We start from the raw sequence: 26,106 nt of genomic DNA on the forward strand, positions 1-26,106 counted from the left end.
TGTTGGTGCATGTCTGTAGTTGCAGCTACTTGGGAGGCTGAGGCGGGAGGATAGCTTGAGTCCAGGAACTGGAGTTGCAGTGAGCCATGATCGTGCCACTGCATTCCAGCCTGGATGACAGAGTGACACCCTGTGTCTATAAACAAACAAGAGCCACCATGCCTGGCCTAGAGTAAAGTTTTTGATATTTGAATAATATGCCATTAATTACATGTGTCCCATTCTTTTTTTTTTTTGAGACAGAGTCTCGCTCTGTCAGCCAGGCTGGAGTGCAGTGCACGATCTCGACTCACTGCAACCTCTGCGTCCCGGGCTCAAGCAATTCTCCTGCCGTAGCCTCCTGAGTAGCTGGGATTACAGGGGGGTGACACCACGCCTGGCTAATTGTTTTTTTTGTTGTTGTTTTTTTTTTTGAGACGGAGTCTTGCTCCGTCGCCCAGGCTGGAGTGCAGTGGTGTGATCTCAGCTCACTGCAAGCTCTGCCTCCCGGGTTCACGCCATTCTCCTGCCTCAGCCTCCCGAGTAGCTGGGACCGCAGGTGCCTGCCACCATGCGCAGCTAATTTTTTTTGTATTTTTAGTAGAGACGGGGTTTTGGGCGGGTGGATCACGAGGTCAGGAGATCGAGACCATCCTAGCTAATTTTTGTATTTTTAGTAGAGACGGGGTTTCACCATGTTGGCCAGGCTGGTCTTGAACTCTTGACCTCAGGTAATCCACCCGCCTCAGCCTCCCAAAGTGCTGGGATTATAGGCGTGAGCCACCATGCCTGGCCGTGTTCCACTATATTTTTCTCTTTAGAGGTTTTCTTAGATTCTTAATTAACAACTAATATTGAATGTCTAAATGGTAGATTGTAAGTCTGTACTAGAGTATATATGTGGTATAATTTCTGCCCTCAAGGAACTAACAGTCAGGTTTGGAAACAGATAAATAAAAAAAAGATTCCTTTTAGAGTTCCAAATTCTATGATACCCTGGAAAGGATGTATTCCTAAGTGGAAGGACAAACGAAGGCAGTCCAGGATGGTAGAGCAGCATGGGCGAATAAATAGGAATGGGTGTGGTGTGTAGGCAGAGGATGCTAGGAAATCCTAATGGATGTGTTTGAAGGGTTAGAGATGAGAGAGAGTCAGGGTGACATCCTAGAGGGCTTTGAACATCAAACATCAGGCCAAGGTGGCTTGATGGACTCCTTAGTAGAGAATTTTTGTGGGTTTGAGCAGGGTCGTTACCCAACCAAAGCAGTATTTTAGGATTCTGAAGCAGCACTTGGATTTCTGAATGAATGGAGAGACAGAGTTGAGAGAACCAGCTGAGTGAATGGAGATGAGAAAAAAGTGTAGTACAATTCTAGCTTGTGAGTCTGAAAGAATTGTGTTATTCAGGTAGAAATAGTATTCAGTCAACGATTAGACTGAGGTACTCTGAAGACGTACAAATAGAAATCTCCTATAGGTGTTTAGCATGGTGGCCCATATCTGTAATCCCAGCACTTTGGGAGGCCAAGGCGGGAGGATTGCTGGAGACCAGGAGTTTGAGACCAGCCTGAGCAATGTGGTGAGACCCTATCTCTCCAACCCCCTCCCCACCCAAAAAAAAATTAGCCAGGTATGGTGGTGCAAACATGTGGTCCCAGTTACATAGGAGGCTGAGGTGGAAGGATCACTTGAGCCCAGGAGGTTGAAGCTGCAGTGAGCTGTGTTCACACCACTGCACTCCAGCCTGGGTGACAGAGCAGAGCAAGACTGTGTCTCAAATAAATAAGTAAGTAAGTAAGTAAATATCCTGTAGGTATCTATGTGACTCAAGGCTAGTCACTTTCCTATCTATGCTCCAGTTTTCTCATATTTGAGACAAGAGACTTGATTTTAGCATAAAGGTGAGAGTTGAAGTAATGAGTGTGAAAGAGGAAAGGGAGAAAACATACAGAGAAGAGCAGAAAACACAAGCAGCTGGTAGGCAGAGAATGCAGAAATTCAAGTTAGAGCTGTTGGAAGATGTGGTAGGCTGACTAATGGTGCCCCAAAAATGTCTAAGTCCTAATCCCCAGAACATGTAAATATGTTACCTTACAGGGTAAAAGAGACTTTGGGGATATGATTAATTTAAGGATCTTGAGATAAGGAGATTAGCCTGGATTATCCAGGTGAGCCCAATATAATCACAAGCATCCATATAAGACAGGCAAGAGAGCAGAATCAGAATAGGAGATGTGATGAAGGAAGCAAGAGATTGCAGGGATTCCAGGAAGGTTCTGTGAGCCAAGGAATGCAGGTGGACCCTAGAAGCTGAAAAAGGCAAGGAAGTGGATTCTTCTCTCAGAGCCTCCACATAAGGAACCAGCCCTGCCAGCAATTTGACAACTCAGCCCAATGAGACTGATTTCAGACTTTTTTTTTTTTTTTTTGAGACTGAATTTTGCTCTTGACCCCTAGGCTGGAGTGCAGTGGCACAATCTTGGCTCACTACAACCTCCGCTGCCCGGGATCAAGCGATTCTCCTGCCTCAGCCTCCTTATTAGCTGGGATTACAGGCGCCCACCACCACAACCAGCTAATTTTTGTATTTTTAGTAGAGACGTGGTTTTGCCTTGTTGGCCAGGCTGGTCTCAAACTCCTGACTTCAGGTGATCCACCCGCCTTGGCCTCCCAAGGATTACAGGTGTGAGCCACTGGGGATTACAGTTGTGAGCCACTGCATCTGGCCATGATTCAGACTTCTGACCTCCAGAATGCTATGATAATAAATTTGTGTTGTTTTAAGCAACTAAGTTTATGGTAATTTGTTATAGCAGCAATAGGAAACTAATACAGAGAAGAACCGACAAACAGTGATATTGAGGTATTTCAAGGAATGGATGGTAAATAATGTAAAAGGAAATTGAGGAGAAGGCCTGTAAAAAGACTGTTGGATTTGGTCATTTAAACTTTGAAAGAGCACTTTCAGTAGAGATATTTTTGAAGACTTTTGTGGAGGTTATATGAAGTTTTTTTTTGCATTAAGGATAACTTGTCTTTCTGTTGACTTTTGGGAGAAAAAATATAGATTTTCCATCAATATAATTGTAATTTAAATGAGGGCCCAAAATATGTGGCAAGACACTTTAAAAGCTGAATTCTGGCTAGTTCAGGTGGTTTCATTATTCATCAGTTAAGAATATTTTAGGATATTAAACCTGATAATAGGGGCAAGAAAGTTATGTCCCTATTACTGATGGCTGCTTATCTAGTTTATTTTACTTCTCAGTCTAGTTTGGCCCATTTCCCACTCATTAGCACTTCCACTGGAAGGCAGCCTTGGGGGAACAGTGATAGGGAGGTTAGTACCAATAAACAGTTTTTTCTGCCATTCTCTTACATTTATTTCTTGAGTGTCTACTGTGTATCTGATTCTGTGCTGCTTGTTACTTTTACTTAGCAGTAGATACAATTTAGAAACTAACTTGAATTTTGGGATTGGTCTCCAGAATAGTTGGTTACTATTATAACTTATAATAGGAAATTGGCTACATAACCGATTTCTGTTCTAGCATTCTGGCTCTTGAGGAGTGTCAGGGGAGTACTATATTTATCAGTATTTGAGACTATTTTATGCTTATGGAGGAGAATTACATATATATCTTCTCTAAGATGGTGAAATATGGAGGTTTGGGATGTCTAATAAATCTTTAATGGTTCAACATAGTAATAATAAATCCAGATTAAGACCTTGGCCCAGAATGTCATATAGGACAAGGAATTGAAGCCTCATTTGGATTGCTAATTGAGTGCTTGCCCAATTTGTTGATGTTGTTTTTGTCTGTGAATATGTTGGGGTTTTTCCTGCTTTTGAAGTGTCATTTAAAAAAATTGTTTCTTCTGATCTTAGATTGTAACCAGTTTGAGTAAAATTTGGGGGCTTAAAGTTTTATCAGGCATGCAGAGTTTATGTTTGTTTCATGAGGCAATTCAATTGAAAAACTGAAGCTTTGCCCAGGCGCGGTGGCTCACGCCTGTAATCCCAGCACTTTGGGAGGCCAAGGCAGGCAGATCACGAGGTCAGGAGATTGAGACCATCCTGGCTAACACGGTGAAACCCTGTCTCTACTAAATATACAAAAAATTAGCCGGGCGTGGTCGCACGCGCCTGTTGTCCCAGCTACTCGGGAGACTGAGGCAGGAGAATCACTTGAACCCGGGAGGTGGAGGTTGCAGTGAGCCAAGGTGGCACCACTGCACTCCAGCCTGGGTGACAGAGCGAGACTCCGTCTCAAAAAAAAAAAAAAAAACTGAAACTTGAGTTTTCAGTATTGGAAATTGACTTGCATGTGGTTTTTAATGAAATATTCTACTTCATTATAGTTATGGAATAGGTTTATACAAAAATTTAGAGATGATTTTATATTTAGTATACTTAAATGTTATGACACAGTGATAATCTGTTAGAATATTAATCTAATGCAAATTTGGGGAATATTTTATGGTGCCATGCTCTAAATATTCATGATATATCTGGCATGATATATGTATCTGGTTTTTCTGTATTAATTATTGGTCTAGTGACTCTCTTTTAAGCATTTTATTATGGAATATTTCAAAATAGAAGATACAAAAGTAGAGAGAATGGTATAATGAATTCTCAAAAGTGATCAACTTATGGCCAATCTTGTTTCATTTATAGATCCTCATCTCCAGTATACTGGATTATTTTATAGCCAATCCTAGATATCACATAATTTTTTTTTTTCTTTTGAGATGGAATTTCACTCTTGTTGCCCAGGCTGGAGTGCAGTGGTGCGATCTTGGCCCACTGCAACCTCCACCTCCCAGGGTGTCTCAGCCTCCCAAGTAGCTGGGATTAGAGGCATGTGCCCCCACGCCCGGCTAATTTTGTATTTTTAGTAGAGACAGGATTTCACATGTTGGCCAGGCTGGTCTCAAATGAACTCCTGACCTCAGGTGATCCACCTGCCTCAGCCTCCCAAAGTTTTGGGATTACAGTCATGAGCCACCGTGCCCAGCTTATATTTTATTTGTAAATATTTCGATATATATCTCTAGAACGTAGAAATTTAAATTAAAAAAAAATCAGCTGGGCGTGGTGGCTCATGCCTATAATCCTAGCACTGGGAGGCCAAGGCAGGTGAATCACCGGAGGTCAGGAGTTTGAGACCAGCCTAGCCAACATGGTGAAACCCTGTCTCCACTAAAAATACGAAAAATTAGCCAGGCGTGGTGGCGTGTGTCTGTAATCCCAGCTACTGGCGGTGGGGGGTGGGGGTGGGGGGCGGTGCTAAGGCAGGAGAATCACTTGAATCCGGGAGGCGGAGCTTGCAGTGAGCTGAGATCTCGCCACTGCACTCCAGCCTGGGTGACAGAGTGAGACTCTGTCTCAAACAAAAACAAAAACAAAAACAAATTTCATTGGCACACCTAAAAGTCAAAATCTTGTTTCTTAAAATTATATTTTAGTAGTGTTTAAGTTTCCCTGATTGTTCACAGGTGTGTGTGTGTGTGTTTTAACAGTTGGTTTATTCAAGTCATGATTCAAATAAGGTCTGTTTTGATTGATACGTATTTTAATCTATGGTTTCCTCCTCATTTTTTTTCTCTTACCTTATTTGTTGAAAACCTGGGTTGTTTGTACTTTAGAGTTTCTCTACAACCTAGATTTTTCTGACTGCTTGCTTGTGGTGTTAAGGTGTTCTTTTGTCCCACGTGTTTTCTATAAACTAGTAATTAGAGATTAGGTCTGATTCAGATTCCAATTTTTTGGTAAGAGTACATCATAAGTGGTGGTATGTACTTCCATGAGAAGGCAAATAATGTCAGGTTATCTCTCTTTGTGATTTAGTGGCCATTGATGGCCTGCAAAAATTTTGAAGTTTCAAGCCAGTCTTGACTAGACCTGAATTCCATTAATTAGTGAATTATTCTAATTATCATCACATCACAAGAAGCTCCTTGTATTGCGCTTCTAATTGGGTTACCAGTGATCAGCTTAAAAAATGTAAATTGGCCGGGTGCAGTGGCTTACACCTGTAATCACAGCACTTTGGGAGGCCGAGGTGGGAGGATCACCTGAGGTCAGGTGTTCGAGACCAGCCTGCCAAACATGGTGAAACCCTGTTTCTACCAAAAATAAAAAATTTAGCTGGGGCTGGTGGTGGACACCTGTAATCCCAGCTACTTGGGAGGCTGAGGCAGGAGAATCGCTTGTACCTGGGAGGTAGAGGTTGCAGTGAGCCGAGATTGCACCATTGCACTCCAGCCTGGGCAACAAGAGTGAAACTCCGTCTCAAAAAAAAAAAAAAGTAAATTGTGAATAAAATAGTTAACATAGGTTTAGTGTATTGACTGTTGCAAGGCTTGACAAGGTGCCTAATGTTGAGATTAGTAGTACCCTTCGTATGTAAATATTTTCCGTGATTGGCAGTGGAGTAAACTTTTTCTACTGTCATTTCATATCTTTACCATTAGCTCTTTTTTTTTTTTTTTTGAGACGGAGTCTTGCTCTGTCACCCAGGCTAGAAGACAGTGGCGCGATCTCGGCTCACTGCAAGCTCCACCTTCTGGGTTCATGCCATTCTCCTGCCTCAGCCTCCTGAGTAGCTGGGACTACAGGTGCCCGCCACCACACCTGGCTAATTTTTTTGTATTTTTTTAGTAGAGACGAGGTTTCACCGTGTTAGCCAGAATGGTCTCGATCTCCTGACCTTGTGATCCGCCCGCCTCGGCCTCCCAAAGTGTTGGGATTACAGTTGTGAGCTACCGCTCCCGGCCTCCATTAACTCTTAACTGAAGTTCCCTATATTAGTCTGTTTTTGTTGCTATAAAGGAATACGTGAGACTAGGTAATTTATAAAGAAAAGAGGTTTAATTGGCTCACAGTACTGCAGGCTATACAGGAAGCATGAGGCCAGCATCTGCTCATGGTGAGGGCCTCGGGAAGCTTACAGTCATGCAAAAGGCAAAGGGGAAGCAGGTGCATCACATAGAGCAGGAGAAAGAGAGAGAGGTGGGAGGTACCATACTCTTTTAAACAATCAGATCTCCTGTGAAGAGAAGAACTCACTCATTGCCATGGAAAGGACACCATGCCATTTATGAGGGAGCTGCCCTTGTAATCCACACATTTCCCACCAGGCCCCACTTCCAAAATTGGGGATCACATTTCAACATGAAATTTGGAGGGCACAAATATCCAAACCATATCATTCCCCTTATTTTGAAATATTGTTCAGAATTCCAGTTCAGTAATATGGTTTCTTATTCCCTAAGTCAACTGCCAGCCCTTGAGGTCCATTATGAAAGAAAACTTCAAAGGGAACGCTCCAAAGAAAACTAAAAAAAAAATAGTAACTTGGCGGTGCAAGGAGAAGAAAGAGACCTGCTTTATAAGAGATAGGAAGAGTGTCCATTCTAGCTACATCAGTTTTGGGCAGTCAACTGTGGGCAAATGATGTGCTTGTCTTAGAAAATGGAAGTGACATTGGGGCATTCATATGGAGATTGGGTTGATTGGCTGGCTTTTGTTGTGCTCTTTGAGGCCTAAGAGAAATTGGCCCTTCTAATTGAATGTGAATTTCACAGTGGGATGTATGGTTTTATGAACTGTTTTATTTATATGCGGGCATTTCAGGGGAGGCAGATTACTTTTTTTTTTTTTCCTGCTTCTTGGCAACATTTTTGCCAGGTTTCTTTTTTTAGTTAGTGATTTTTATTTTTTTTAAAGTTGGTTGGTCTAGCGATGAAATGTGACGTTAAAATGCCAAAACAGATTGTGTTTGGGTCCTGTGGATGCAGCTTCACTGTTTTGTAATTATTCCTCTTGTATTGATTTTCCTCCCCATGTTTAAATTGTTCCTCCTTGACAGTAGATAGCATGAAAAATGAGGTCAAAAGAATAACTCACCTCATTATAAATCACTAGGGGTAATGGAAAGTGATTCTGAAGGATGACCAGGATTCCTTCCATCTGTTAAGAATCATTTCACCTGTTGAAGAGTTCCTACAGCACAAGGACTCTAGTGGTGAGCCGCATCCATTCCAACTTCACAATTGCCGTACAGGGCTAGTATTAGGAGAATTTGACTGCTAGAACTCTAAGTGCTTAACAGGTATTTTTTAAAGCAGGCAACATCTTTATCATTGGCACCAGTTTTCAGTTGAGAGTGGAGACTGCCTTGCTTCAGCTCTGTGTGTGCTATAGCCAGTTCATGACAGAATCAGCAAGGCCCAGGGTTTTTGTTTTTTTTTTTTGTAATAAGGAAATAACTTTGAAAAATTAAAATTATAAATTTAATTTTTCTGCTCATTACCTAAATTATTGCAAGAAGATTATCTTCATTTTTCTTAATATCAAGATAAATGTTCTGTCCTGTCTCTATAATGCACTTCTGTAGTTTGAATGTTTATTTATTTATTTATTTATTTATGTTTGAGACAGAGTTTCCCTCTGTTGCCCAGGCTGGAGTGCAATGGCACGATCTTGGCTCACTGCAACTTCTGCCTACTGGGCTCAGGTGATTCTTGTGCCTCAGCCCCCTGAGTAGCTGGGACTACAGGCATGCACCATCATGCCCAGCTGATTATTGTATTGTTATTGGAGATGGGGTTTCGCCATGTTGATCAGGCTGGTCTGGAACTCCTGGACTCAAGTGATCCACCCATCTTGGCCTCCCAAAGTGCTGGGATTGCAGGCATGAGCCACCATATCCAGCCTGTAGTTTGAATCTTTAAACAGTCAAATGATCTGTTATTAATTTTGGGGGGCACATTTGTATTGAGCACTTCCTGGATGCCAGATGCTGTTGTATACTGGGATACAAACATGGCATACAACTGTGTCTTGCTCTCAGGCATCCCACAGTTACTGACAAACTCATAATTTTAAAGATCTATTCTGGTCTATATTGCTTGTACTTCATGTTGATTCCATTTCCTATTAATCTGTTCATAGTAAAAGTGGAGAAAAGGGTATTGATCATTATCTACACATTTACCTTTGTATGTTTTAAGATAATCAAGACCTTGTCATTAGCCTTCTCTAATAAGGATAAACATGTGCATTCTTTAATTTAGTTTCCAAATCATTAATCGTTTTGTCTATCTCTCCTGGGAATTTCTAGTTCCCTTTGGGTCCCCTGGCTCTGTGAGAAGAGACTGTAATGTCTTCAGCTCTGGGGACCACCACTAGGGTGAAAGACTATTATAGGACCACTTGAAAGTACAGAGTTGCAGGACTGTCAGATATGCGTTTGTTTTATTAGAAGATTATGAAGTTCCAGGATATTATAGCAAAAAGAACATTAGAGGACACCATTTGACCCACCTGTGCCATTTTATTTTATTCTATTTATTTATTTAGAGACAGAGTCTCCTGTTTGTTGCCCAGGCTGGAGTGCAGTGGTGCGATCTTGGCTCACTGCAGCCTCTGCCTTAGGGTTCAAGTGATTCTCCTGCCTCAGCCTCCCAAGTAGCTGGGACTACAGGCACACGCCACCATGCCCAGCTAATTTTTGTATTTTTAGTAGAGACGGGTTTCACCATATTGGCCAGGCTGGTCTCGAACTCCTGTCATCAAGTGATATGCCTGCCTTGGCCTCCCAAAGTGCTGGGATTACAGGTGTGAGCCACCATGCCTGGCCCATTTTATTAATACAAATGAGAAATATGAGGCCTAGAAAAAAGCTAAAGGAATACCTTAAGCATGGTACAGAAATAAGATATAATGAAATGTTCTATTTATCAAACTTCTGCTTGATATTCTTTTCTGTCTATGGAAATGTAGTTATTTGCAAATTATTAGTACTTTGAGAAGAAGCAAAATGTGCTCTAAATTCTTTTGAAGAACTTTTGAAGAAGGATGATACCTTATAGTTGTATTCCTCTTTCAAAAACTTCAAAGTAATAGAAACATCAGGGGTCATTATTCATGTTCCAAGATAACTAATCTAAGGATTCTATTAAGAATTGGTTTTACATTTGACTTATTCATCTCTATATGTATCTACTACTAAGCAACATGATAACATTGCAAGGTCTTACTCTGTCACCCAGGTAAGAGAGCAGCGGCTCAATCATGGCTCACTACAGCCTTGACTTCCTGGGCTCAAGCATTCCTCCTGCCTCATTTTTTAATTTTTTAATTAATTTATTTATTTTTATTTATTTATTTTTTTTGAGACGGAGTCTTGCTCTGTCACCCAGGCTGGAGTGCAGTGGCATGATCTCGGCTCACTGCAAGCTCCGCCTCCTGGGTTCACGCCATTCTCCTGTTTCAGCCTCCCGAGTAGCTGGGACTACAGGCGCCCGCCACCATGCTCGGCTAAGTTTTTGTATTTTTAGTAGAGACGGGGTTTCACTGTGTTAGCCAGGATGATCTCGATCTCCTGACCTCGTGATGGGCCCGCCTCGGCCTCCCAAAGTGCTGGGATTACAGGCGTGAGCCACGGCGCCCGGCCTCATTTTAAAATTTTTTGTAGAGATGTGGTCTCACTGTGTTGCCCAGGCAGGTCTTGAACTCCTGGGCTCAAGCAGTCCTTCCACCTCAGCCTCCCAAAGTGCTGGGATTGCAGGCATGAGCTACCGCACCCAGCCAGCAAAATTTTTTAAAACAAAAAACAATTAGTACAAATACCACCCTAACATATTAATTGGTTTTTTTTCCTTTGTTCTTCCTCAGGCTGTCTTAGCTTTTGCAAATATTTTAACATAGTTGAACTCATGGTATGTTAAAATTACCATAAGTACTGTGGCCAGCTTTAGTGGCTCATGCTTGTAATTCCAGCACCTTGGGATGCCAAGGCGAGAGGATCACTTGAGGCCAGGAGTTTGAGACCAGCCTGGGCATTTTTAGAGACAGGGAAATCCTAAGTCTAAAAAAAAAAGCCAATTGTGGTCGCCTGCAGTTGTGGCTACTCAGGAGGCTGAGGCAGGAAGATTGCTTGTGCCAGGGTGGTTGAGCCAAGATTACACCACTGCATTCCAGACTAGGCAACAGAGTGAGACAGTCTCTAAAAAAGAAAAAAAAAAAGTAATTTTTACTGAGTGCTGCTTTATACCAAGTGTTGCTATGCATTTTGCTTTTTAAAAATTATCTTTACATCAACAGCTCTACCAAATAGGTGGTTTATTCCACTTAATGATGAGGAAGAAGAATCAAAGAAGGTAATTTGTCCTAACCTAGGGATCACACGTCATGCTGGTATTTAAATTCACATCTGTCTGACTCAGAAGCTTTTAGTCTTCTACCTAGGTTGTGCTGGTTTTCTGAAATCCTGGCTCACCTCTCCATTTAGACCTCTTTATTTTTTTAAAAGCCTCTTAGCACCTGTAATGACAGCACTTTGGGAGGCTGAGGTGGGCGGATTGCTTGATCTTAGCCTGGGCAACATAGCAAAACCCCATCTCTACAAAAATACAAAAATTAGCTGGGCATGGTGGCATACCTCTGTAGTCCCAGCTACTCAGGAGGCTAAGGCGGGAGGATTACCTGAGCCTGGGAGTTTCGGGCTGCAATGAACTATGATTGCACCGCTGCACTCCAGCCTGGGTGACCGAGCAAGACCCTGTCCCTCCACTCCCGCCCCCCCACAAAAAAACCTCTTAGAGACATAGTTTTATAGAGATAGGATTCTTTTAGCATTCCATTACTACTGAGATTTTTATATTATCAGAATTCTGCACCTACTCAGTGTGAAGTAATAGCTAAAGCATTGTTTTCCTACCTCCTTCATGTCATGGTATACACAGAAGACGACATTTGTGTAAGACCCCTGGTAAACTAGAGAATATTTGCAAATTTGGTATAAAAATTCATTGTTGCTGGGTGTGGTGGCTCATGCCTGTAATCCCAGCACTTTGGGAGGCTGAGGCGGGCAGATCACTTGAGGTCAGGAGTCCGAGACCAGCTTGGCCAACATGGCGAAGCTCCGTCTCTACTAAAAATACAAAAATTAGCCAAGCATGGTGGCACATGCCTGTAATCCCAGCTACTCGGGAGGCTGAGGCAGGAGAATTGCTTGAACTGGGAGGCGGAGGTTGCAGTGAGCCAAGAACGCACCACTGCACTCCAGCCTGGGAGACAGAGCGAGACTCCATCTCAAAAAAAAAAAAAAAAAAAAAAAATCAGTTGTGTTTTCTTAATACAGTAATGATAACAAAATACATTAAAAATCAGACATTGAGCAACAGAATAAAAATGTATGAATATTAAATAAATAGACTAAGAAACTACAAAATTATGTTTTATTTAGGAACACCTAATAATACCAGATGTATTAATAATGATGATGTTGATTATAATGCTTTTGATGACAAACATACATTTAGAAATTGTGGTGCTATTAGAGCAAATTAAATAGAAAACTTCATTTACATATGGGTGCAAAACGTAGAACCTCACTGATTGTTAAACAATGTAGACTAAAATAAAAATATAGACTAAAATGATTCAACAGGAAGATCAAGAGAAGGGGCTATTTCATGGAGTCACTGTACTGTGCCATGTGCATAGTTTTATGTACCAAAACTATGGTACTTAAGTGGTTCCATATAGTGAAGTCATGTGCATAGTTTTCTGTACCAAAATTATAATTAGGAAGTTTATGTAGAGAACTATATGAATTAAATATAACTTTACCCATCCTGAATTTTTAGTTGGTTGCAAAACATTTTTAATACAATACAAAATTTTATTCAGAAGATCTTTACATTACACTACTTATAAGCCATTTTAGAACAATAAATGATTGGGAAGATCTGATATAAAGCCTTTTAGCTCTAACGTATTGATAGTAAGCATTCAGTAAATATTGAGTATTGTTATGTTTAGTTAGTAAAGCAAAGTGGTTAAGATTATGAGCTTTGGAATCAGACATAGTTGGTTTCTAATCCTGGTTTTGCTACTTACATAAGCTTTATGTAAGCTGTCTGTGCACAGTGCCTTATTCTTAGTAGGCATTTAGGTGATTTTCTTTTAGACTAAGATGAGGATAAAAATCTTTAGTGAGTCTTACCGTGACCTACCAGACACTGTATCATCTGATCCCCCATTAGCTCTCAGTACTTGTCTTTCCCTTGTTCAACCCATTCCAGTCACATTAGTGTCCTCCTTGTTTCTCAAAAACTCCAGTTGCTAGGAATAGATGCTTAAGGGCCTCACATCTGTTTTTCCTTCTGCCTGGAATGCTATTCCATCAGCTACACACATGGCTTGCAAATGTCACCTTTGTAGTGAAGCACTTCCAGGCCATGATATCTAAAAATTTCAGATGAACTTTCCTCACCTTCTCATTTTTTTAAATTGAGGTAAATTTTACATATAGTAAAATGCATAGAACTTAAATCTACAGTTTGATGGGTTTTGACAACGTATACAACCATGTAACCAATATGGTTTGGATATCTGTCCCCCGCAAATCTCATGTTGAGATGTAATCTGCAATGTTGGAGGTGGGACCTGGTGGGAAGTGTGTGGGTCATACGGGAGGGTCCCTCATGGTTTGGTGCTGTTCTCAAGATAGTGAGTGCAGTCTCAGGAGATCTGTTTTTTTTTTGTTTTTTTGTTTTTAGAGACGGAGTTTTGCTCTTGTTGCCCAAGCTGGAGTGCAGTGGTGTGATCTCAGCTCACTGCAACCTCCGCCTCCCAGGTTCAAGCGATTCTCCTGCCTCAGTTTCCCGAGTAGCTGGGATTATAGGCGCCTGCCACCACACCCGGCTAATTTTTTGTATTTTTAGTAGAAACAGGGTTTCACCATGTTGGCCAGGCTGATGTTGAACTCCTGACCTCAGGTGATCTGCCTCCCTCGGCCTCCCAAAGTGCTGGGATTACAGGTGTGAGCCACTGCGCCCGGCCAAGATCTGGTCATTTAAAAGTGTCTGGCACTGCCCCCCGCAACCTTGCTCCCATTCTCGCCCTGTGATGTGCTTGCTCCGCTTCGCCCTCCACTGTGAGTAAAAGCTCCCTGAGGCCTCCCCAGGAGCCAAGCAGATGTCAGTGCCATGCTTGTGCAGCCTGCAGAATTGTGAAACAATTAAATCTCTTTTTTTAATAAACTAGTCAGCCTCAGGTATTTCTTTATAGCAACACAAGAATAGCCTAATATGGTAACCATCACCCAAATCAAGAAATAGGACATTTTTGCCTCCTTTGAAAGTTCTACCCACCACCCCTTCATCCTCCCCCAGGCTACCACTGTTATAATTTCTATCATTCTAGAATTAGTGTTGGCTGTATTTTTCTTTTTTTTTTTCAAGAAATATTAACTATTCTTTATTTGATATATATAAGCCATATAAAATGCCTTTTAATAAGTTAAAAGAACCATTTTATTTTGAGATGGGGTCTTACTGTGTCACACAGGATGGGTTGCAATGGCAGGATCATGGCTCACTGCAACCTTGACTCCTGGGCCCAAGCCATCCTTCCACCTCAGCCTCCTGAGTAGCTACGACTACAGGAATGCACCACCATGCCTGGCTATTTTTAATTTTTGTACAGATGAGGTCTCTCTATGTGGTCCAACTTGTGGCCTCAAGCAATCCTCCCACTTCAGCCCCAAAAAAGTATTGTGATTACAGGCATGAGCCACTATGCCCAGCCAAGGAACCATTTTAGACACAGAGAATTCTAATTAAATTGACATAGTTAAGACCAGAAATATAAAGTAGACATTGTTACCTTATCTTTAGTCTTTGCCTTTAAGAGGCACGTGAACGCAGAACACAGGTGGGTCTTGCTTGGTTCTGAGACAGTGAAGACATTTCCCCAGTATTTAAATATATTCATATAGCTAGTTATATAAATCTAAATATAAAGCCAATCTCTAATAGGTTTTAAGATGGCATTCACCATCTTTGTGAAAAGTTGAACACTACGAATTAAGTCCAATCATAGTTTTAGAAGGGGGAAACAGTGATACCATTTACTGAATCAGAATTACTGTTAAAATTTTAAAAAACCCAAATGTATTCATTTAACCACAAGCGAGTCTTAATTAAATCAGGACTGCTCAACAAAAATATTCTGTGAGTTATTCATGATTTGAATTCTGATGTATATTAGAGAGCTATTAAATTATGTACACATAAAAAAGTCATGTGGTCAATTATTACTGATTATTAGCTTTTCTGAGATAAGCTATCAAGTCTGCCCTTTCTGCCTTCTTCTTAGTGCTGACAATGGTCATTTTTGTTCCAGGGATGTACTTCTTGGGATTCTGCAAATACTCCATCAGTGTCTCCTCTCCTCAGGTGATGCCTTTGTTCTCATTGGCGTCTGTGAGAGAATTCAGTGGCCTGACCTGTCTTCTGCATAAATAGACCATGGAGATTTGGCTCACTCTTGTACTTGCCTCGCTTTACCATGGTGTGGCATTGGGCACACTTTTTTTTTTTTTAAGACAAGTTCTGGCTCCATCATCCAGGCTGGAGTGCAGTGGCACGATCTTGGCTCACTGCAACCTCTGCCTCCTGGGCTCAAGCCATCCTCCCACCTCAGCCACCCGAGTAGCTGGGGCTACAGGCATGCACCACCATACCCGGCTAATTTTTGTATTTTTTATCAAGATGGGGTTTCACCATGTTGTCCAGGCTAGTCATGAACTGCTGGGCCCAAGTAATCTGCCCACCTCACCTCCCAAAGTACTGGGACTACAGGCGTAAACTACCATGCCCGGCCTTGGGCACACTTCTGAACAAAACTCTTCTTGCCTTTCTCAACATCACCCATATTTAATTCTGTCTCTCATCACTGGTACTACGAACTTCCTGTTCAGAAGCCGGACATCCCACTCTTTCAGTTTTAGCTGTTTTAAAAGGAATATAGAATATGTACCTTTTAAAGTTTGGTTTCTTCAACTGAACATAATGTTTTTGAGATTTATTCATTTTTCACGTATCCATAGTTTATTGTTTTTTATGGCTGAGTAGTATTCCATTGTGTGAGTATTCCAAAATTAGTTTATTCTTCTGATTATTGACATTTGAGTTATTTCCTTTTTTTTGCTATTATGAATAAAGATGATAAAGATGCTGTGAGTAGTCTACAAATCTTTTTGTAGACATATTGTTTTTATTTCTCTTGGGTAAATACCTGAGAATGAAATTGCTGGGTTATAGAGTATATAATTTTTTTTTTTTGAGATGGAGTCTTACTCTGTCACTAGGCTGGAGTGCAGTGGCACGATCTCAGCTCACTGCAACCTCCGCCTCCCGGGTTCAAGCGATTCTCCTGCCTCAGCCTCCCTAGTAGCTGGGATTACAGGCGCCTGCCACCACACCCAACTAATTTTTTGTACTTTTAGTAGAGGCAAGGTTTCACTATGTTGGCCAGGCTGGTCTCGAACTACTGACCTCAGGTGATCCACCTGCCTCAGCCTCCTAAAGTGCTGGGATTACAGGCATCAGCCATCGTGCCCGGCTGAGAATGTAAAATCTTAGCTTTATTAGCAACTTGCTGTTTTCTGATGTGGTTGTACCATTTTATACTACCCCTAGCAATGAATTAGAATTCTGTTTGCTCCACATCTTTGTTGATATCTGATATTGTCATTTTTTTTGAACACGAGTTCCATTTGCTCCACATCTTTTTTTTTTTTTTTTTTTTTTGAGATAGAGTCTCTCTCTGTCTCACTCTGCCACTCAGGCTGGAGTGCATTGGCTTGATCACGGCTCACTGCAGCCTCAATCTTCCAGGCTCATGCCTTTCTGCCACCTCAGCCTTCCAAATAGCTGGGACTACAGGTGTGCACCACCACACCCAGCTATTTTTTTTTTTTTTTTTTTTGTAGAGACAGAGTCCTGCTATGTTGCTCAGGCTGGTCTCAAACTCCTGGGCTCAAGCGATCCTCCTACTTTAGCCTCCCAAAGTGCTGGGATTACAGGCGTGAGCCACTGTGCCCAGCCTACATCTTTGTTGATATTTAATATTGTCAGTGCATTTTTTTCCTTTTCTTTTTAATATTAGCCATTGTTTGTATAGTGTTATTTCATTTTGGTTTTAATTTACACTTCTGCAATGACTAGTGATGTTCAGCACCTTTTCGCATATTTATTCATTATTTGGAGTGTGTGTGTGTGTGTGTGTCTGATTTCAGTCTTTTGTACATTAAATTTGCTTTTTGTTTTTTATTATTGATTTGTAGGCATTCTTGATGTTTTCTGGATATAAGTCCTTGGTCAGATAAATATATTATAGATATTTTACCCTGGTCTATGCCTTGTTTCTTTACGTTCTTGTTTTGTTTTGAATAAACTTTTTATTTAGAAGTGATTTAAGATTTACAAAAAAGTTGCAAAGATAGTTTAGAGAGAGAGTATTTGTATACCCTTCACCCAGCTTTCCTGAATGTTAACATTTTACATAAACATGGTGCGTTATTCAAAAGAAGTTTTTTTGTTGTTATGTTGATATTCTGGATGCCATTTCCTTCATTATAGTTTCTTTTTTTTTTTTTTTTTTTTTTGGAGACGGAGTATCGCTCTGTTGCCCTCTGCACTCTGCTGGAGTGCAGCGGCATGATCTCAGCTCACTGCAACCTCTGCCTCCCAGGTTCAAGTGATTCTCCTGCCTCAGCCTCCCGAGTAGCTGGGATTACAGGCACGTGCCACCACATCTGGCTAATTTTTGTATTTTTGTAGAGACTGGATTTCACCATGTTGGCCAGGCTGGTCTTGAACTCCTGACCTCAGGTGATCTACCCACCTCGGCCTCCCAAAGTGTTGGGATTATAGGCGTGAGCCACTGCGCCCAGCCCCTTCATTATATTTTCCAATCAGTTTTTCTTATATTATAAAAGTAATTTTTGGCCGGTTCCAGTGGCTCTTATCTGTAATCTTAGCACTTTGGGAAGCTGAAGTGGGTGGATTGCTTGAATCCAGGAGTTCAAGACCAGCCTGGGCAACAAAGCAAGACCCCATCTCTAGAAAAAATACAAAAATTAGCCAGGTATGGTGGTGCGTGCGGATAGTTCCAGCTACTCAGGAGTCCGAGGAGGGAAGATGGCTTGAGCCTGTGAGGCAGAGGCTGCAGTGAGCTGAGATCAACACTAAACTTCAGCCTGGGTGACAGAGTGAGACCCTGTCTCAAAAAAAAAAAATAAATAAAGCAATTTTGCCTGGACAAGGTGGCTCACACCTGTAATCTCAGCACTTTGGGAGGCTGGGCAACATAGAGAAACCCCATCTCTACAAAAAAACAAACAAAAAAATAGCTGGGCATGGTGGCATATGCCTGTGGTCCCAGCTACTTGGGAGGCTGAGGTAGGAGGACCACTTGGGCCTGGGAATTCAGGTCTATAGTGAACTGTGATTGTGCTGCTGCACTTCAGCCTGGGCAACAGAGTGAGACTCTGTCTCAAAATAAAAAAAAATAAAAAAGTAAAAAATAAAAGAAAAAAGAAAAGCAGTTTTTAAAAAGTAGTAGTAGTATTTATTTGATTTTCTTACTGAACTATGTTGTTGGCTTTCTCAAATTCTGGATTTTTCAGTTATATATTAGCATCTGTTAATCCTGATGATAATTTCTTTTTTTTTTGTAAGATGGAGTCTTGCTCTGTCACCCAGGCTGGAGTACACTGGCACTATCTTGGCTCGCAGCAACCTTCGCCTCCCTGGTTCAAGTGATTCTCATGCCTCAGCCTCCTGAGTAGCTGGGACTACAGGCGCACACCACCACGCCTGGCTAATTTTTTGTATTTTTGGTAGAGATGGGGTTTCACCATGTTGGCCAGGCTGGTCTTGAACTCCTGACCTCAAGTGATCCTCCCTCCTCAGCCTCCCAAAGTGCTGGGATTACAGGTGTGAGCCACCGCACCTGGCCACTGATAATTTCTTTTTGGTTTTGCCCCAAAGGTTTAAATCTTTGACACTATAAAGTTTTTAATTTTGATGGTGTCTAATTTCTCTAATTTTTCAGAGAAAAATTTGAGAATTTTGTTGCTTCTACTTTTAGTGTTGTATCTAAGAAACTATTGCCTCTTCCCAAGTCACAAAGATTTACACCTATGTTTTCTCTTAGAGTTGTGTAGTTTTAGCTCTTACACTTGGGTCTTTGATACATTTTGAGTTAATTTTTATATATGGTGTGAGCTAGGGGGGTCCATCTTTATTCTTTTGCATGTGGATATCCAGTTGTCCCAGCACCATTGTTGAAAAGACCCTTATGCCTTCCTTTTTTTATTGTCAGGTCTTCATTTTTAACCAGAACATTTAGAACACTATTAATAATTGTGACAGAAGATATCTTTGTTTTTTTTTTCCTTTAACGAGAATGTCACTAGTGTTTCTACTAGAAATATGATGTTTAGTTTCCAGTAGCTTCTTTGATTAAGGAATTTTCTTATTTCTAGTTTATGAAGGTTTAAAAAAATCCCCTTTTTATTGCAAAATTTAACACACAGAAAAGTGTACATAAAACACAAATGTATAACTTAATAGATTTTTGTAAAGCAGAGGTTTGAGTTACCACCACCTTGGTCAAGAAATAAAATATTATTTCTAATGGTCAAGAAATAAAATATTATTTCTAATGGTCAAGAAGGTATATTAATTTTTTGATACCCTTGATTATAAAACCGTTAATAACCCTGGGAAATTTAAAAGGATTATTGGGATGATGTCTCACATAGTATGCTTTAAAAGTGACAGTTATCAGCTGTAGCTTTAACTGAGGCACTGAGGCTGCCATTATTTTACATTTTCTCCTGAGCTTTATAACTATATATCCAACTGGATTCTCATTATCTTTCCTTGAAGGCTTTTAGGTACCTCAGACTCAACATATTTTATATGAACTGCTTCTCCTCTGTTTACTATCTCAGTAAAGGGCACCTCCCTTTACCCAGTCATTATGCCAGAAACCTAGGTAACATCTGTGATTCCTTGTTTTTCTTATTTGTTCAATAATGTTTATACAGCAGTTAACTATGTGCTAGATACCTAGCACTGTGAATATAGTAGGGAATAAAAGAGACATGGACCTCTCATGCTGGTCCTCTCATGAGGTTGTAGTCACCAAATCCTGTGGATCATACCTCCTATATGTTAATCAAATCCATCTGCTTTCATTTGTCTCTCTCTTTTTTTTTTTTTTTTTTTTTTGAGACGGAGTCTCACTCTGTCACCCAGGCTGGAGTGCAGTGGCGCAATCTCGGCTCACTTGCAACCTCCGCCTCCCAGGTTCAAGCAATTCTCCTGCCTCAGCCTCCTGAGTAGCTGGGGCTACAGGTGCATGCCGCCACGCCCAGCTAATTTTTTTGTAGTTTTAGTAGAGACAGGGTTTCACCATGTTGCCCAGGCTGGCCTCGAACTCCTAATCTCAGGCAGTCTGCCCGCCTGGTCTCGAACTCCTGAGCTCAGGCAATCCGCCCGCCTCTGCCTCCGCCTCCCAAAGTGCTAGGATTACAGGCGTGAGCCACCGTGCCCTGCCTCATCCACTTTAGTCCAAGTCATTGTCTCTCACCTGGGTTACAGAAACAGTCTGCTGAATGATTTCCATGCTTCTATTCTTCTTTCTCCAACTATTTTCTTCTTTTCTTTTTTTCTTTAGACAGAGGCTCGTTCTGTCGCCCAGGCCGAAGTGAGATGGTGCGATCTCAGCTCACTGCAACCTTCGCCTCCTGGGTTCAAGCGATTCTCATGCCTCAGCCTCCCGAGTAGCTGGGATTACAGGCATGTGCCACCACGCCCGGCTAATTTTTTGTATTTTTAGTAGAGATGGGCTTTCACCATGTTGGTCAGGCTGATTTCAAACTCCTGACCTCAAGTGATCTGCCTGCCTCGGCCTCCCAAAGTGCTAGGATTACAGGCGTGAGCCACTGCATCTGGCCTCTCAAACTATTTTCTATGCTTCAGCCAGGAAAACCTGAATATTTCACACCTTTCTTAAAATCTTTCAGTGGTTGTCATTGCCCTGTTCTCTAGTCTCACTTCTTGTTGTTCCCGTTTTTGAATTCTATGCTTCAGCCACACTGATCATTTTTCACTTTCTCAATTATGTCATTTTCTCATCTCCTAGTCTTAATACATTTCCTTCTCCTACTTCCACAATCCTTATTGTCTCTCTTCTTTGACTACCAATTTTACAGGTCTCAGGTTCAACATCAGTGCCTCTAAGGAGCCTCCCATGGCATAACCTATACTGTGTTTTCCCTTTATATCTTTTCCTTGTGTTTTTAAGAGATAGGGTTCTCACTATGTTGTGCAGTGGTGTAATCATAGCTCACTGTAACTTCAAACTGCTGGGCTCAAGGGATCCTCCCAAGTAGATAGGTCTACAGGTGTGTGCCACCATGCTCGAGTAATTTTTTAATCTTTATTTTGTAGAGACAAGGTCTCACGGTATTGCCCAGGCTGGTCTCAAATGCCTGGCCTCAAGCAGTCCTCCCCCTCAGACTCCCAAAATGCTGGCATGAGCCATGGCATCCCGCCCCCACTTTGTTTCTTATAGCTTACCTGTCATAACACTTGTCATATAGTCTTATAGTTTAATTTGTCATATATTCTTATGGTCAATACACTTTAGGCTCTGGGAAGGGAGGGAGTGTGCCTAACTTATTCACTGTTATGTTAATTGCATCTATGGCAGTATCTATTAAGTCTTAGGCATTGGGAATAAAGATTTGTTCAATGAATGAACTGAGCAGAGGAAGGGGGTGGTGGCAAGAAAAGAGCAGTGAGGTGTTCCAGTTGATAATTTAATAAGAATAATCAGAGTTGGAATAATCAGAATTTGTATTTCAAACCTTATAACTTCCTTTGCTTAAAAATATTTGATTTTCTTTCTTAATAATTCTTGTTTTAGGTTTTTTTTTATTAGTTAAACTTTGGTTGGTTAGGGCTTAACAGGGAATTAGGAATTTGATAGCATGTTCTTACATCTTTTAAAGACCAAGAGAACTAGAAGGAGAGCATAAACCAGGATTTTAGATGCTAAAAATATTACAGAATTTAGATCCTTGACCTTCAGGGAGTGTATCAATGTGAGGAGTGCAACTGTTAGGAATAAGTGCCTTGGATGTTGAAAGTTCTTGCAAAATTTAGACAATTTGCTGTGTCATAGGTATTGAATCAGCTGGAAGCAAACTGAAAGTATAAATTGAATGGATGGATAGAAACGTGAGTGGTAGTAAGAATAAAACAAACTAAATTTTAAAAACAGTTTAGGGATTGGTATGAAAATACAATCTTATATATAAAGATTGCATCCTTTTATAAGTTGTATGTGGATTAAATAAAATTAGTCTTAATCATTTATTTGATGTAAAAATTACCCTGGAAGTTGTTATTTGTAGTAAAGGAATATGGGAAGGATTATTAAAGTTTTTTCAATATAATATAAATATTAAATAATAGGATAGTGCACTAACCAGAGTTCATCAGAGACAATTTTTTTCAACCTTATACCTTTTTATTCTTTTTGAATGCTGGGAGGTGAATCTTTTACACCAAGCTTGTCCAACCTATGGCCCCTGAGGCCACGTGCGGCCCAGGACAGCTTTGAATGTGACCCAACACAAATTCATAAACTTTCTTAAAACATTATGAGATTTTTTTGGCTTTTTTGTTTTGTTTGTGCTCATCAGCCATCATTAGTATTAGTGTGTTTTATGTGTAGCCCAGGACGATTCTTCCAATGTGGCCCAAGGAAGCCAAAAGATTGGATACCCCTGTTAACACCATTTGGTGAGCTAAGACATGGTGTCATGAAAACAGTAACAACTAGCTGTTTAAGGCGGGATAATTATGGAATGAATACACTGGCTAATTAGTGTAGATGTTCTGAGAAGATAGAGGTTACTTTCAATTGGGAAAGGCATGGTTCCTGGCAGGTTGGGTATCTCGTAACTGCTTATTAAATAAACGGGTTGAATATTTTGGAGTAGTAATGTGAGAAGGGTAGTATCTTTTTTTTTTTTTCGCTCTGTCGCCCAGGCTGGAGTTCAGTGGCGTGATCTCGACTCACTGCAAGCTCCGCCTCCCGGGTTCATGCCATTCTCCTGCCTCAGCCTCCCTAGCAGCTGGGACTACAAGCGCCCGCCACCACGCCCGGCTAATTTTTTGTATTTTGTTAGTAGAGACGGGGTTTCACCGTGTTAGCCAGGATGGTCTCGATCTCCCGACACCATGATCCGCCCGCCTCGGCCTCCCAAAGTGCTGGGATTACAGGCGTGAGCCACCGTGCCCGGCGAGAAGGGTAGTATTTTAAGTGATTAATTTGATAAGACTGTGTTGGATGGATTGATTGGAGGAAGGAGGGATGAGTTAAGATGTACAGTAGCTTATTAGCCTCTAGGGCAATAGTGAAAGGCATCTAAGAGAACAGTAAAGTAAGATGTGAATAGGCATTTAAGAAAAATAAAGGATGTTGAGACTTACTGATTATGGGGAGCAGGAGAAAGAAAGGTCAAAGACAGGTGTTTTTTTTTTTTTTTTTTTTTTTTTTTGAGACGGAGTCTCGCTGTTGCCCAGGCTGGAGTGCAGTGGCGCGATCTCGGCTCACTGCAGGCTCCGCCCCCGGGTTCACGCCATTCTCCTGCCTCAGCCTCCCGAGTAGCTGGGACTACAGGCGCCCGCCACCTCGCCCGGCTAATTTTTTGTATTTTTAGTAGAGACGGGGTTTCACCGTGTTAGCCAGGATGATCTCGATCTCCTGACCTCGTGATCCGCCCGCCTCAGCCTCCCAAAGTACTGGGATTACAGGCGTGAGCCACCGCGCCCAGCCAAAGACAGTTTTAAGATTTTGAGAATACTGATATTTCACAAATATTTATTAAGCATCCGTTCTGTGCTCTCTTCTTCTTTTCCTTAAAATGCCTCAAGTTGTCTTCATTCTTTTTTTTTTTTTTTTTTTTTGGTCTTTATTCTTAAAAATGGCCACCAAAAGAACTTTCTTTCAGTCTTACCTGTCTTGCAAACCACTGACCCATCTCTTTCCTTTCTCTTCAAATTCTCCTTAAGGAGTAGTGTAAACCCACTCTGCTACTTTGCTCCATTATGCTGAAACTGCTTTCTCAAAGGTCATCGCAGACTTCCTAAATGCCACGCCTTATCATCCTTCTAATTCTTTTTTTGTTGTTGTTTTGGGACAGAGTCTTGCTCTGTCACCTAGGTTGGAGTGCAATGGTGCGTTCTCAGCTTACTGCAACCTCTGCCTCTCAAGTTCAAGCGATTCTCCTGCCTCAGCCTCCTGAGTAGCTGGGATTACAGGCATGTGCCACCACGCCCGGCTAATTTTTGTATTTTTAGTAGAGATGGGGTTTCACCATGTTGGCCAGGCTGGTCTCCAACTCCTGACCTGGTGATCCGCCCACCTCGGCTTCCCAAAGTGCTGGGATTATAGGCATGAGCCATCGCGCCCGGCCATTTTTCTAGTTCTTATCCTTTTGGAGCATTTTATAACGTTTTATCTACTTGATCTCCATATGAATTAAAACGCTTATTCTTTGGCTTCCAAAACAATGCTTTTTTTCCCCTCAGATCCTCTTCTTACCTCCTGAATCACTCTTCTGCTCACGATTCCTCTTCCATTGCCCACTCTTTGCCCAGATTTCTACCCCAACCCACTTTCTCTATATTCTTTCGTCTTTGTAACCTTACCCACTCCCATGGCCTCATCCCTCATTATGTACTAATGATGTCGAGATCTGTCTGACCCTGACCTGTTTAGACTTGACTTTTTTCCTGGACTCAAGATATGCATTTCCAGCTGCCCATTAGACATCTTGATGTAGATGTCTTACAGGTTTCTCTCGGTCTCAGTATTTCCAGAGCAAAATTGTTCTCATCCTATCACAAAATTTGTTGCTCCTCCTGTTTTCTCTTCTTGAAAAGAAATATCATCAGCCACTCAGTCATTTAAGTCATTGATTCCCAATTGACTGCATGAGAATCACCTGGGGGCACATGTTAACAATAGAGGCTGCTGAACTGTATCCTCCAAAGAGCCTGATTCATTAGGTCTATGGTAGGACCCAGGAATCTTTTATTCTGATGCTTATCCAAGTTTGGAAATCACTGATGAAAACTGATTTGCTCCCTCCGTCCCCATCTCCACCGTCTACTGAGTTACCAGGACTTGTCAGTTCTATCTGTGTAATGTCTCATAACTCTGTCTTCTTGTCTCCATTTACACTGCTAGTATTCTAGTTGAGACTGTCATCTTTATGGGAACTTGTAGGTACATAGTAGGTATTTTTAAAATTCTTGTTGAATAAATGAATGCATGATTGCCATAGTCTGCCATAGGTCTATTTTTTCCCCTAATTTCACATCTTTACAGTCTATTTCTAATAGTACCTTGTTATTTTTAAAATACCAATCTAATGATATAACTTTTCTTTAAAAAACAATCCATCATTGGCTTTCGAGCTTGGTTATACATCAGAATACTCATTAAATGCAGATTCTGTCTGTTTAAGAATGAGGACAATTAAAGAAAAATACAGATGCCTGAGCCCCAACTCTGGAAATTTCAATTTAGTAGATCTGGAGTACAGCACAGGAATCTGTATTTTTACCAGGTATCCCAGAGATTCTGATGCAATTTTGCATTTTGAAGCCATTCACATGCAGAGTAAAAACGCATATAAAATGCTTTCAACCTGTCTTACCAGTTTTTTTCCCTACCATTCCTCAACCTCATTCACATACCTTCTCATTTGTTATTTGCCATCTCCTGAGCACTCCATGAACTTTTTGTTCATACCGTTCTCTTTGCTTAACTGCTCCTGCTCCCCTTCTATGCCTCGTAAAACCCTCCTAATCACTTCAAGGCTTGGCTCAGGTGTCACCTCCTCTGTGAAGTTCTACCCTGTCAGGATTTATTCATCCTTCCTTCTTGTTCTCATGATACGTTGTTGCTGGTTTAGCAAACCACAGGTGATATTATCTTACACAAACAACAAGTTGTTCTGTGGCAGGCAGAAGACTCAGGAGGTGAAGGAGTTTCATTATTTACCTAGAGTTTCCAGCCCAGGGCTGCTGTTGCCCTAGTGGAGAGTTTTATAAAATGGTTTTGATATGACCTGTGAGTAAAGAAGAAAATGTGTTTGAAACAATTTCTGTGAACATGATTTGAACTTTGGGTTATTGTATTTGTTTCTTATCCATTTTAGAGTGAAT

At 41.2% G+C, this 26,106-nt stretch overlaps 1 protein-coding gene and 1 pseudogene across 17 annotated transcripts in view, besides 8 other annotated features; one reads left to right on the plus strand and one right to left on the minus strand.

The window, feature by feature from the left end:
* The window catches only part of PPP1R12B (protein phosphatase 1 regulatory subunit 12B), a 244,004-nt gene that overhangs the window by 5,732 nt on the left and 212,166 nt on the right, over positions 1 to 26,106 (plus strand). The gene's annotated exons all lie outside the window — the stretch shown is intronic.
* Positions 4,456 to 5,407: an enhancer, noted in NCBI's record as "H3K27ac-H3K4me1 hESC enhancer chr1:202328014-202328965 (GRCh37/hg19 assembly coordinates)". NCBI's record gives its function as "activates a minimal SCP1, AML or CMV promoter by ChIP-STARR-seq in naive H9 embryonic stem cells {active_cell/tissue: H9 hESC(naive)}" and the evidence as "EXISTENCE:reporter gene assay evidence [ECO:0000049][PMID:30033119]".
* Positions 6,810 to 7,552: an enhancer, noted in NCBI's record as "OCT4-NANOG hESC enhancer chr1:202330368-202331110 (GRCh37/hg19 assembly coordinates)". NCBI's record gives its function as "activates a minimal SCP1, AML or CMV promoter by ChIP-STARR-seq in naive H9 embryonic stem cells {active_cell/tissue: H9 hESC(naive)}" and the evidence as "EXISTENCE:reporter gene assay evidence [ECO:0000049][PMID:30033119]".
* Positions 7,553 to 8,294: an enhancer, noted in NCBI's record as "OCT4-NANOG hESC enhancer chr1:202331111-202331852 (GRCh37/hg19 assembly coordinates)". NCBI's record gives its function as "activates a minimal SCP1, AML or CMV promoter by ChIP-STARR-seq in naive H9 embryonic stem cells {active_cell/tissue: H9 hESC(naive)}" and the evidence as "EXISTENCE:reporter gene assay evidence [ECO:0000049][PMID:30033119]".
* Positions 9,890 to 10,627: an enhancer, noted in NCBI's record as "H3K27ac-H3K4me1 hESC enhancer chr1:202333448-202334185 (GRCh37/hg19 assembly coordinates)". NCBI's record gives its function as "activates a minimal SCP1, AML or CMV promoter by ChIP-STARR-seq in primed H9 embryonic stem cells {active_cell/tissue: H9 hESC(primed)}" and the evidence as "EXISTENCE:reporter gene assay evidence [ECO:0000049][PMID:30033119]".
* On the minus strand, positions 14,898 to 15,372 carry CYCSP4 (CYCS pseudogene 4; annotated as a pseudogene).
* Positions 21,017 to 21,217: a silencer, noted in NCBI's record as "peak653 fragment used in MPRA reporter construct". NCBI's record gives its function as "represses an SCP1 promoter by STARR-seq MPRAs in K562 erythroleukemia cells {active_cell/tissue: K562}" and the evidence as "EXISTENCE:reporter gene assay evidence [ECO:0000049][PMID:32103011]".
* Positions 23,853 to 24,354: an enhancer, noted in NCBI's record as "H3K4me1 hESC enhancer chr1:202347411-202347912 (GRCh37/hg19 assembly coordinates)". NCBI's record gives its function as "activates a minimal SCP1, AML or CMV promoter by ChIP-STARR-seq in naive H9 embryonic stem cells {active_cell/tissue: H9 hESC(naive)}" and the evidence as "EXISTENCE:reporter gene assay evidence [ECO:0000049][PMID:30033119]".
* Positions 24,355 to 24,854: an enhancer, noted in NCBI's record as "H3K4me1 hESC enhancer chr1:202347913-202348412 (GRCh37/hg19 assembly coordinates)". NCBI's record gives its function as "activates a minimal SCP1, AML or CMV promoter by ChIP-STARR-seq in naive H9 embryonic stem cells {active_cell/tissue: H9 hESC(naive)}" and the evidence as "EXISTENCE:reporter gene assay evidence [ECO:0000049][PMID:30033119]".
* Positions 25,391 to 25,921: an enhancer, noted in NCBI's record as "NANOG hESC enhancer chr1:202348949-202349479 (GRCh37/hg19 assembly coordinates)". NCBI's record gives its function as "activates a minimal SCP1, AML or CMV promoter by ChIP-STARR-seq in primed H9 embryonic stem cells {active_cell/tissue: H9 hESC(primed)}" and the evidence as "EXISTENCE:reporter gene assay evidence [ECO:0000049][PMID:30033119]".

Source organism: Homo sapiens, chromosome 1, assembly GCF_000001405.40.
Source record: "Homo sapiens chromosome 1, GRCh38.p14 Primary Assembly".
Classification (NCBI taxonomy): Eukaryota; Metazoa; Chordata; class Mammalia; order Primates; family Hominidae; genus Homo; species Homo sapiens.